General features: G+C 44.8%; 1 protein-coding gene across 6 annotated transcripts in view, besides 1 other annotated feature; it reads left to right on the plus strand.

Annotated features, from left to right (window-relative positions):
• KAZN (kazrin, periplakin interacting protein) overlaps nucleotides 1–12,357 on the plus strand; it is a 1,225,220-nt gene that overhangs the window by 17,194 nt on the left and 1,195,669 nt on the right. The gene's annotated exons all lie outside the window — the stretch shown is intronic.
• Nucleotides 3,513–3,682: an enhancer, noted in NCBI's record as "experimental_267 CRE fragment used in MPRA reporter constructs". NCBI's record gives its function as "activates a minimal promoter by MPRAs in K562 erythroleukemia cells, with activity observed for both the introgressed and non-introgressed 1:14240110 variant alleles {active_cell/tissue: K562}" and the evidence as "EXISTENCE:reporter gene assay evidence [ECO:0000049][PMID:34662402]".

Below are 12,357 nucleotides of genomic sequence, written 5' to 3' on the forward strand. Positions count from 1 at the left end.
ATACTTTCAGTGGGGTCTGGTATGGTTTAGATCTGTGTCCCCATCCAAATCTCATGTTGAATGGTAACCCGCAATGTTGGAAGTGTGGCCTGGGGGGAGGTGATTGGATCATAAAGGCAAGTTCTTATGGTTTAACACTATCCTCCTTGATGCTGCTGCGGCGATAGTGAGTTCTCATGAGATCTGATTGTTTAAAAGTATGTGACACAGGCTGGGTGTGGTGGCTGACGCCTGTAATCCCAGCACTTTGGGAGGCTGAGGTGAGTGGATCACGAGGTCAGGAGATCGAGACCATCCTGGCCAACATGGTGAAACCTCATCTCTACTAAAAATACAAAAAATTAGCTGGGTGTGGTGGTGCATGCCTGTAATCCCAGCTACCCAGGAGGTTGAGGCAGGAGAATCGTCTGAACCAGGGAGTCGGAGGTTGCAGTGAGCTGAGATCATACCACCGCACTCCAGCCTGGCAACAGAGTGAGACTCTGTCTAAAAAAAAAAAAGTGTGTGTGACACCTCCCCCACCTTGCTCCTGCTTCACCATATAAAGTTCCTGGCTCCCCATTTGCCTTCTGCCCCAATTGCAAGTTTCCTGAGGCTTCCCCAGAAGCAGAGCGGATGCTAGCATCATGCTTCCTGTACAGCCTACAGAACCGTAGCCAATTAAACTCCTTTTCTTTATAAATTACCCATTCCCAGGTTTTTTCTTTTTTATAGTAATGTGAGAACAGACTAATATAGGGCCTAACTCCCACCCAATTTCCAGGTGCTTTCCCATAATAAGAAGAGATATGTAGGTGTGTTCGGCTGTTCTTGCACTGCTATAAAGAAATACCTGAGACTGGGTAATTTATAAAGAAAAGGGGTTTTATTGGCTCACAATTCTGTAGGCTGTACAGGAAGCATGGCGTCTTCTGTTTCTGGGAAGTCCCAGAAAGCTTCCAATCATGATGGAAGACAAAGGGGAAGGAGGTGCATGACATGGGGAAGACAGGAACAAGAGAGAGATGGAGGAAATGGCACACACTTTTGTTTTGTTTCATTTTGTTTTTGAGATGGAGTCTCGCTCTGTCACCCAGGCTGGAGTGCAATGGTGCCATCTCAGCTCACTGCAACCTCCACCTCCCGGGTTCAAGCAATTCTTCTGCCTCAGCCTCCCAAGCAACTGGAGTTACAGGTGCTCACCACCACGCCTGTCTCATTTTTGTATTTATGGTAGAGACGGTGTTTCACCATGTTGGCCAGGCTGGTCTCGATTTCCTGACCTCAGGTAATTCACCTGCCTCGGCCTCCCAAAGTGCTGGGATTACAGTCATGAGTCACTGTGCCTGGCTGGTGCCACACACTTATAAACAACCAGATCTTGGAGAACCCACTCACTTTCGGGATCCTGAAGTCAGCACCAAGCCATGAGGAATTTGTCCCCATGACCCAAACACCTCTTACCAGGCCCCACCTTCAGCACTGGGGAATCACAATTCAGCATGAGATTTGGGTGAGGACAAGTATCCAAACGATATCAGGAGAAACTATTATAATCCATCATGGTTGAGTCAGAAGAAATGAGATTCTCCTGTTTTCTGATGCTGAAGGAAGACATCACGTCCTTTGAGGTCTATATAAATTGTCCCACTTTGAAAATTTTCATTTTGAAACCTGCCTCACAACATACATCACCTGGGAGGCCAGACAGAAGCATTTTGAGTTTGCTGTATAATATCATTTAATGTATTAAATCCTTAGTCCTTAAATAAAAAATGTTATAAGGCATGATGCAGCTTGGCAGAAAGGGAAGTTGTGATTGATAAGGACAGTTATCTGCTGGAAGTTGGGGTTGGGTTTGGGCCCCCAGAAGTCCCTTCTAGGTGGTTCTAAGAAGTGAAGGATGTGGGTTTGGTGTCAGATTTGCATTCTGGCTGTGCTTGGCTATTTATTGATGTGTTATTTTGGACAAGTTTCTTTTTCCCCATTACTATTGTTTTAAATCTCTCTGAACCACGGCTTTTTATGTGAAGTGGAGATGGCAAGCCTCTAATGTAGGCACTATGAAGGTTATATTAAAATGCATGGAAAATGCTAGAGGACCATGTGCTTGGAGTAACACAAAGACCAGTGCTCACGATCAAAGGCAGCTTCCCAGCCGAGCACTGGGCTGCCCTGGGCACCCCCTTTACCCAGCACACAGGTCAAATCTTATTATTGGTGAGCACCGTAGAGTGTTCAGGTCAGAAGAGAACCCCCGTCTTTCCTCCTGTGCCTAATGAGTCCGCGGCAGTTCCTTACTGAAACTGCTTTATCTGGCCTCTGCTGAGTTGGTGATTTGTCCAATCTACTTGTGGGCACACACTTCAGATAAAAGGCCACATGAAACCGTGTGCTGCTTGATGGGATCAATAAGTGCCATTGAAGATACTCCAGTCCACTCAACTCCCAGGTCCAGGGCTGGGCTTCTCTTCCTTCAAGGTCTAAAGGAAGAGGCTGAGACCAGGGCAACAGCTCATGTTGACACCCATTTAAAAAGTAGATCAGATGATAAAATTGATAAAGTGTTGACTGAGTTTCTATATCTGTAAAAATGAAATCCTACCTAATGCAATTCTTTTTTTTGAGACAGGGTCTCACTCTGTTGCCCAAGCTGGAATGCAGTGGCACAATCTTGGCTCACTGCAGCCTCTGCCTCCCAGGTTCAAGCGATTCTCCCACCTCAGCCTCCCCAGTAGCTGGGATTACAGGGGTGCAGCACCACACCTGGCTAATTTTTTGCAGAGCTGAGGTTTCACTATGTTGGCTAGGCTGGTCTCGAACTCCTGACCTCAGGTGATCTACCTACCTTGGCCTCCCAAAGTGCTGGGATTACAGGCATGAGCCACTGTGCCTGGCCCTAATGCAAACTCTATAGTTCATGCAAGATTTACCTGCTGGCTGTGTAGCATAAATAAACCAAAGGAAAACCTGGGCGGGGACCAGGAGCTGCATCCTGCATGGCCCCTAAGAAGATTGGCTTAGATGAAATTGGAACTCTCCTTTATCATCTTGCTGGATCATGGGGCTGGGGTTGGGGTCACTGGACCCTCTCCTAATGTTAATATTGAACTGCAAGAGACACTTACTAAGCATCTACTGGTTTCCCCCAAGACAAGGTGTTCTAGGGCATACAGGAGAGACAGAAGCCTAGCCCTTGCCAGCTCAGATAGACAGACATCAGGAAGAAGTAGAGGATTTCAGCAAGTTAGAGAGAAACTAGAGGAATTGTTTTGGTATAAACTAGCAGAACGTTCTGTGTGGCCTCTATCTGGTCAAGCAGAGGAGACTTGTGGGAGGTGGTGGGTCTTGCAGTGGATCTTTCCAGATACTTTGCACTGTGGATTTGGTATTTTGGGGTAGGAATCTCAGGCTTCTAGGCCTGTGGTGGAGCTAGAGATGGTCAGCGGCTGCTCCCCAGAGCTGCCTCTGCCAACATGAAAGGGCTTGGCTGGATGGTGGGAGAGTTTGGGGCCCTGTAAGGTCAGGGACTGATTGTGCAGCTCCATTCTTCCCAAGGGCTCCTTCTTCTCCAGCAAGGCAATTCTTACAGATTTGCAAATCTGGTTCTCTTCTGGCCTCAGGGGAGATAAAGCCATGTTATTGCATGGCCCTGCTTTCAGCTAGGATTTCTTAAACTTTTCCAATTCATTTAGGCCAAACAAGAAACCTTGGAGGGGGTGATCCTTTTTGAAGTGGTTTTCTAACTTCAGTGTTTCATAATTACTTGGAAGCTTGTTTAAAACACAGGCTCTCAGCCCCGCCCCAGAAATTCTGATTACTGGGTCTCACTGCAGGCCTGTTTATTCAACAAGGATCACCAGAGTTCCTGCTTCAGGTGGTTTGAGAATCATTAAACTAGTGCAGTGGTTCTTGAACTGGGATCCTTGGACCAGCATCACCTGGGAACTTGTTAGAAAGGCAGATTCTCAGGCCTCACCCAAGACCTGCTCAATCAGAGACTCTGGGGGTGAGGCCCGGTAATCCGAGTTTCAGCGCATTCTGGCCTGGCTGAGGCTCGAGAACCAATGTGCTAGGATTTGCAACAACTAAAGACGCGCTGAAGGAATTTCAAGCTCATAGGGATGGAGAACCAAATCCCAGTAGGAATAGTCAGGGTACTAAATTTGATTACCAATCTGGTGGCACCTGGTTTTGCTAAAAACGACAAGGAAAGCTACTCATGCCTAGAAATCTCACTATTGCCCTCCTGCCGTGCCTCAGGCACATCACTCTGAACTAGGGATGCTATGTGAGCCTGGCAGTTCATTTAGCCCCCTGAGCATCAATTTCCTCAACTGTAACATGGGGATAATATTATTGTTGACCTCACAGTGTTAAAACTTGTATGAATTGCACAGAACAGTACCTGGCTCAGACGCGAGCTAATAGAGCTACTGATATTTGCTAAAGCTCCTGCACAGGCAGCATCCTGGTGGGTGGGGTCTGTGCCTGTAATGGGATGTCACCGCCTCGATTAGGTTATGTTATACGGCCCTTATATAGCGGTGATGTCCCTCCTGTGAGTACAGGGTATTCCATTACTCCTTCTTAGCTGACCATGGAGAGATTTTCCTGCTGGCTTTGAAAAAGCAAGAAGCCACACTGTGAGAGGGCCCGGTGGCAAAACCTTAGAGCCCTTAAGAATTATGCTAAATATGGCTGGGTGGAGTGGCTCACACCTGTAATCCCAGCACTTTGGAAGGCCAAATTGGGAGGATCACTTGGGCCTGAGGGAAGCTCCAGGAGCCCAGAGTGAACTTGAATGGCAGGTGGCTGCAATGGGAACCTCAGTGAGACAGCTGCAAGGAAATAAGTCTTGCCCACAGTCTGAGTGAGCTTGGAAGCAAATTCTTTCTTAGAACCTCCAGATGAGAATACATCCCAGCTGACACCTCTATTGCAGCCTGAGACCCTGAGCAGGGGACCCAATTATACTGTGCCTGGATCCATGACCCTCGGAATGGAGACAATAGATAGTGTTTCCTTTGAGCTGCTAAGTTAGTGGTGATTTGTTACACAGTAATAGAAAACATACAGAAATCACATGTGTGTGTAAATGTACACACATGCATGTGTATACGTGCAGTTGTATATATGTGCAGATGTGTATACACATGCACACAGACACAAACACAGGCACACATGTATACGATCTGCCTTTCCCCAGCAGGGAGGGTTTTCTTATGGCGAAACCAAAAAAATCTTAGCAACCCTTTGGGTGGATGACACACTGCCTGGGGACCACGGGACTTTTAGGAACTCATAAAATTGTTTTAATTTCTTTTCAAAGAAGAAAAAAATGCACTTTGAAGCTGACAAAAATGTTTTAGTCTATAACATTAATATATTTGTCTTTATACCAACATAGTTGTAAGTATAATTTATAATATATTTTATGGAGGACCCGCAATAGCAAAAATGCTTGGGCACTTTGGGGCCCATGAACGTCATAATATGGCCCTGGCAGATGAAGAGGAGTCCTGCCCTCTCCATGCCAATTTCCTCCTCCTTCTCTGTCCACCACCAGCCCTGGGGCTGTGTGCACCAAGGTTTCTCCTTCCACCTCAGCGCCCAGTTGCCCTCTGCTCCCACCCTAGGTTGGAACATCTCCTATCTGGTGACCATTCCAGATGAAGGAGGAAGCATGAGAGAGGACCCAGGTCATGAGGCCAAAGACCTTGCTATTCGCTTTTTAGCACTAGAGAGAGAGAGAGGGGCTTGAGCCTGGACTCAGCTCCACCTCGTTCCACCTTCCTTATCTCTGAACACCTTCTGCATAGTCTGTGATACATTTCAGTGCTCACTCCTTGCTTTGATTAGGATTCTTTGGTTGTGAGCCACATAAACTAATTCTAGATGGAAAACAATTCAGATGGCATTAGGGAGATTTCAGAAAATAGGAGAGGTGAAGATCCAGGCTTTGAAAAAGACTGGTGTTAGGGAAGCATTGGTGGAAGCTGTGGCAGGGGTTGGGGGCCGGGGAGTGGGGGTTCAGACCAAGCCCTAACCAGTAAGGTCTTTGAGCTTTCACCAGCAGGATGATCAGCCCCAGATGCCTTTGGTGCTTGCATCCTGCAGGCCAGATGTGGTTTTCCAGGAGTGAGGGTCCTCTTGGGTGAGGTGCAGTCATGGGCTCACCTACCCTGATGGGAGAGTTGGGACCCTGGATGGAAAATCCCACACCAGCCGCATATGAAGGGTGAGGGATATCTCCCCAGAGAAAAGAAAGAATGACATTCGCCTGAAAGAGGAAGGGATGGCATGCAGCAGGAGTCACCTCTGATTATGTTCTGTTTCTTATTTTCTGATTGTCTCATGAGTCTGTGTCCGAGACCCCTGCTGGGACTCTAAGCATCAGGAGAGAGGGGCTGTGTCTTAGCCTGCCTGGTATTTCTGATACTGCTTAGTATGGATGGTAGGTGCTCAAAGACTGCTCTATTAATGTTCATTTTCCCTACCCATTCAGCATCCCTACGTGCCAGGTGCTACACATTTAGAAGTGGCCAGGACGGGGTCCCTGTGCTCTTGCTGCTCAGAAAATAGCAGAGAGAATTAGACATTCACCAAATCATACAAATGTATGTAAAATTACAACACAGAGCATGTTGTGAAGGGGTGGCAGAGCTGTAATCAGGATAGCTGAACTGCAGGGGGAGTTCAAGAGACCCTTCCTTCCTGAACTGATGGCTGAACTGAGATCTGCAGGCGAGGAAGATCCACCTGGGGAGCCACTGAAAGGCCTTCTAGGCACAGGAAGCCTCCTGTGGCTGGAGGCAATGTGGCCTTGCTGGGGGAGCAGAATGGGGCCTCATGGTTGAGGTGAGTGGGCTCGGGGAGAATGGGGGAGAGGAGAGAGGAAGAGGCAGGGCTGCAACTCACAAGACTTTGTACACATGTGGAGGAGGCTGGCATGCTCCCTGGGTAACCATGGAAGGATTTTGAACAAAGGAGGAACTAGTCTTGATTTCTATTTGATTCGATTAGAAGAATTCTCTGTATGCCAAGATAGCCAGGCTTCCATTCCCCTTGAAGTATGTGTTTGTGTGTGTGTGTGTGCACACGTGCATGCATGCACGCCCATGTGTGTAATACAAATTTCATTTGTTTAATGTAAAGTAGCTCCTACCATACGTTAGAGGAAAGAAGCCATTTCTATAACATAAAAGTTCAAGGTGAAGCAGCAAGTGTTGATGGAGAAGCTGCAGCAAGTTATCCAGAATATCAAGCTAAGGTCGTTGATGAAGGTGGCTACCCTACACAATAGATTTTCAATGGAGATGAAACAGCTTTCTATTGGAAGAAGATGCCATTTAGGACTTACATAGCTAGAGAGGAAAAGTTGATGCTTGGCTTCCAAGTTTCAAAGGACAGGCTGACTCTGGTGAGTGGCCAATGCAGCTGGTGATTTTAAATTGAAGCCAATGCTCATTTACCATTTTGAAAATCTTAGGGCCCTTAAGAATTATACTAAATACGGCTGGGTGTGGTGTCTCACACCTGTAATCCCAGCATTTTGGGAGGCGGAGTTGGGAGGATCACTTGAGCCCAGGAGTTCAAGACCAGCCTGGATAACATGGTGAGACATCATTTATATAAAAAATTTTTTAAAAATTAGCTGGGTGTAGTGATGCAGCTGTGGTCCCAGCTACGTGGGAGGCTGAGGCAGGAGGATCACTGGGGCCCAGAAGGTTGAGGCTACAGTGAGCTGTGTTTACACGACAGCACTCCAGCCTGGTGACAGAGAAAGACCTGTGTCATCAAAAAAAAAAAAAAAAAAAAAAGGAAAGAAATTATGCTAAATCTATTCCACCTGTGCTCTATAAATGGAACAGCAAAGCCTGATGACAGCACATGTTTACAGCATGGTTTACTGAATATTTTAAGCCCACTATTGGGACCTACTGCTCAGATAAGATTCCTTTCAAAATATTACTGCTCATAGACAATGCACCTGGTCATCCAAGAGCTCTGATGAAGATGTACAGGGAGATTAATGTTGTTTTCATGCCTGCTAACACAACATTCATTCTGTAGCCCATGGAACAGGGAGTGATTTAGACTTTCAAGTCTTGCTATTTAAGATGTACGCTCTGTAAGGCTATAGCTGTCACAGATAGTGATTCCTCTGATGGATCTGGGCAAAGTCAATTGAAACCTTCTAGAAGGGATTCATCATTCTAGATGCTATTAAGAACATTCATGATTTATGAGAAAAATCAAAATATCAGCATTAACGGGAGTTTGGAAGAAGTTGATTCTAACCCTTATGGATGACTTTGAGGGTTCAAGATTTAAGGGGAGAAAGTAACTGCAGTTGTGTTGAAAATAGCAAAAGAACTAGGATTAAAAGTGGAGTCAGATTATGTTGAGTTATTGCAGTCTCATGATAAAACTTAAATGGAGGAGAAGTTGCTTCTTAAGTGGTTTATTGAGATGGAATCTACTCCTGATGAAGATACTGTGAACATTGTTGAAATGACAACAAAAGATTTGTAATATTACATAAACTTAGTTGATAAAGAAGTGGCAGGATTTGAGAGGACTGACTTCAATTTTGAAAGAAGTTCTACTGTGTATAAAATGCAGTCAAACAGCATTGCATCTTTCCTGAAAGGAAGAGTCCATTGATGTGGCAAACTTTACTGTTGTCTTGTTTTAAGAAATGGCCACAGCCATTCCAACCTTCAGCAACCACCACCCTGATCAGTCAGCAGCCATCAACATCAAAGCAGGAGTACTCCACCAGTAAAAAGATTACAACTTGCTAAAGGCTCAGAAGAGTATTAGCATTTTTTATTTTTTATTTTTTTTGAAACAGGGTCTCAGTCTGTGGCCCAGGCTGGAGCACAGTGGCATGATTGTAGCTCACTGTAGCTTTGGCCTCTTATGGTGTTAAAATGTTTTTTTTTCCCCCTTTTTGGAATAAAATTGAGATTAGATAGTGGGCCTTCTTAATGTTCTTACTCAGCAAAGTAGACAATTAACAAACTTATCTTTGTCCACACAGGGGACCATAAAACTTTGAAAATTGAAGTACAGCATTTACTAATCAGAAGTGTACTATGGCTCAGTGAGTTATCACAAGTGAATACATCTGTATAACCACTTCTCAGCACACAAAGTGCACTGCACTTATCTACTCTTGGAAATGCCTCATGCCTCCTTTTAATCATCTCCTCCACCTTCTCCCAAGCACGACCTCTGTCCTGACTTCTTCCAATATAGTGTAGTTTTGCCTGTTTTTGACCTTAGATGAATGGAATCATAGAATATGCTTTCCTTTCTGTCTGGCTCCTTTTGCTCAACCCATTTTGGGATTTCTCCATGTTGTGTGCAGCAGTAGTTGGCTCTTTTTCATTACTATATAGTATTCTGCAGTATGAGCATATCACACACGTTTAATATGTCTACACTTAATGGTCTTTTGGGTTATTTCTAGTTGGGACCATTATGAAAAGTACATGACAATGCATTCTTTTCCAAGTGTTTTTGGTGTACATGTACACATATTCCTAGGAGTAGAACTGGATCATGGATGTGCCTGTGTTCAGCCTTCAAAAAGATATTTAAATTGGCCATTTGGACATCTGTTGTCAAGTGTTTGTTCAAGGCTTTTGTCCATTTCTGTATTGGGTTATCTGTGTTTTCCTTATTAAATTTTAAAAGTTTATATATAGTGTGCATGCCAGTCTTTGGGGCATATGGATGGTGGATGTGGCTTGCCTTTTCACCCTCTGACATTGTTGATGAGCAGAAACTTCCAATTTTGATGTAGTCCACAATATTAATATTTCTCATAGGCCACCACACCCAGCCTATGTTATCTTTTAGAAGCTTTATTGTTAACCTTTTATATTTGGATCTAAAATCTACCTGAAATTAATTTTTGTGTATGGTGTGAGTTAGGGGTCATGATTCTTCCTTTTCTGTATGAATATCCTATTGACCCAGAGCCATTTATTAAAAAGGTTATTTTGCTGAGGTGGGTGGATCACAAGGTCAGGAGTTTGAGACCAGCCTGGCCAATATGGCGAAACCCCATCTCTACTAAAAATACAAAAATTAGTTGGGGCTGGTGGCATGCGACTGTAGTCCCAGCTACTTGGGAGGCTGAGACAGAAGAATCACTTGAACCAGGGAGGCGGAGGTTGCAGTGAGCTGAGATTGTGCCACTGCACTCCAGTGACACAGCGAGACCCTGTCTCAAAAAAAAAAAAAAAAAAAAGGTTATTTTTCTGTCCCATGTTCTGAAGTGCTCTTTTTGCCATGAATCAAGTGTCCATCCTATATGTGGTCTGTTTTGGACTCTATTCTGTTCTTTGATGTGTTTACCTGTCCTGTACTCACACCATACTGTTTTAATTACTTTGGGGTATCAGGTTTACTATTCAAGAGTGTAAGTCCTCCAGCTTTGCTTCGAATCTAACTGGTGAAGTTGGCAGGCTCACCAGGTGTACATGTTGTAAGAGTTAAAGAAAGAAGAAAGAAACATGAAAAGTGGCTCAACAGTCAAAGACAGGTTTACTTTGGAGAATAAACCTGAGAGGGGCTTCTGGCTGGTTTTGGTCAGGAGCCTTCTCTCTTACAAAGGATATTTAAGGGTTTAGGGAGGGAGAGCTTATTGCAGGCTCAGAATGTTTCTGTGTAGGGGAGAGTTTTATTGAGGGGTTGGGATGTCTCTGGTTGGAGGGGAGGTTATCATGGGGCTGTCATGTTTCTGGTCAGAGGGGAGTTTATCTCAGGGTTGGAATGTTTCTGGTCAAAGATATCACTTGTGGTTTATGGTCACGCTGACATTGGCCATTAGGCTGATGTTTTTGGGCTGGATTTAGGTGGTTTTCAATCAAGGGGAACTTAAAATGGTGGTGTTTGTCCAAGATGGCGATGCTCCTGCGCTGTCACTTGTCAGATGTACAGCTCAGAGGAATGTGCACATAGCATCTGGAAAGGCAATAAGCTGACTTTTCTGTGTGCTCATTGTGTCCCAGACCCATGCTAAGTCATCTATATGCATTGTTTCAGGACCTCTATGAGGTCCTTGTTGTCCAAGGATGACTGATATTGAAAAAGATCTCTCAAACTTAGATTGCCTTGATTGTTCTTGGTGTTTTTTATTTCCATAATACATTTTATAATCAGTTTATCAATGTTTGAAATGATATCTAAATGTAATTTGATATTTTATTGATTCATGGCCAATTTGAGAATAGACATCTTTTCAGTATCAAATCTAGTGCAGAGGTCAGCAAACTTTTTCTCTAAAGATCCTGATAGTAAATATTTCCGGCTTTGCAGGCCAGATGGTATCTGTCACAGTACTCAACTCTGTCATTGCAGTGTGAAAGTAGCCACAGGCAATATGCAAGCAAATGAATGTGGCTGTGTTTCAATACAACTTTATTTACAAAAAGAGGCAGTGGGTCTGATTCAGCCACAGGTTATAGTTTACTGACATCTGTTCTAATCCATGAGCATGCCTTCCAAGTTCTTTCATATCTGTGAAATCAAGAAGTCTGGGGATCATATCCTCTTATCCTCATCCCTTGTAGTCTTTCCTCATGCTTCTATCCTGCCTTGCACTATAGTTGTTTGCATTTTTTTTTTTGAAATGGAGTCTTGCTCTGTTGCCCAGGCTGGAGTGCAGTGGTGTGACCTTGGCTCACTGCAAGCTCCGCCTCCCGGGTTCATGCCATTCTCCTGCCTCAGCCTCCCGAGTAGCTGGGACAACAGGTGTGGTCACCCGCCACCACACCTGGCTAATGTTTTGTATTTTTAGTAGAGATGGGGTTTCACTGTGTTAGCCAGGATGATCTCGATCTCCTGACCTCGTGATCTGCCCGCCTCAGCCTCCCAAAGTGCTGGGATTACAGGTGCGAGCCACTGCGTCCAGCCCCAGTTGTTTGCATTTTTATTACAGTCTATGATCAGGTCATGAGTCATTGGAGAGCAGGGATTGGGTTTTTTCCATGTGTCTTTTCCTTTTGGTGCTCTATACAGTGTCTGACACATATACTGGTGCAATAAGTTACTAGGGTCTGAATCTGATGTTGAAGAGAAACTGGGAAAGTATGGGGTTTAGAAGCTCACCCTTAGGTGCCTGGGCCCTGGATTTCTCTGCCTTTTCTGTAGTGCTTTGGGGAAAATCCATGGCACCAAGACTTGGCTCTGTCTATTCTTTACAGATCATCGGTCCCCCGCCCCCAACTCTTGTATTTTTCCAGTAAAGTTCTGTATCCTGTGAAGATACAGAAAGATCACGTATGTATTAGACTTTGGGCCACTTGAAAGCTACGTCTGTGTTTACTGATCCCCTGGCCTCTAACATAGCACTTCATG

Source organism: Homo sapiens, chromosome 1 (genome assembly GCF_000001405.40).
Source record: "Homo sapiens chromosome 1, GRCh38.p14 Primary Assembly".
NCBI classification, from domain to species: Eukaryota; Metazoa; Chordata; class Mammalia; order Primates; family Hominidae; genus Homo; species Homo sapiens.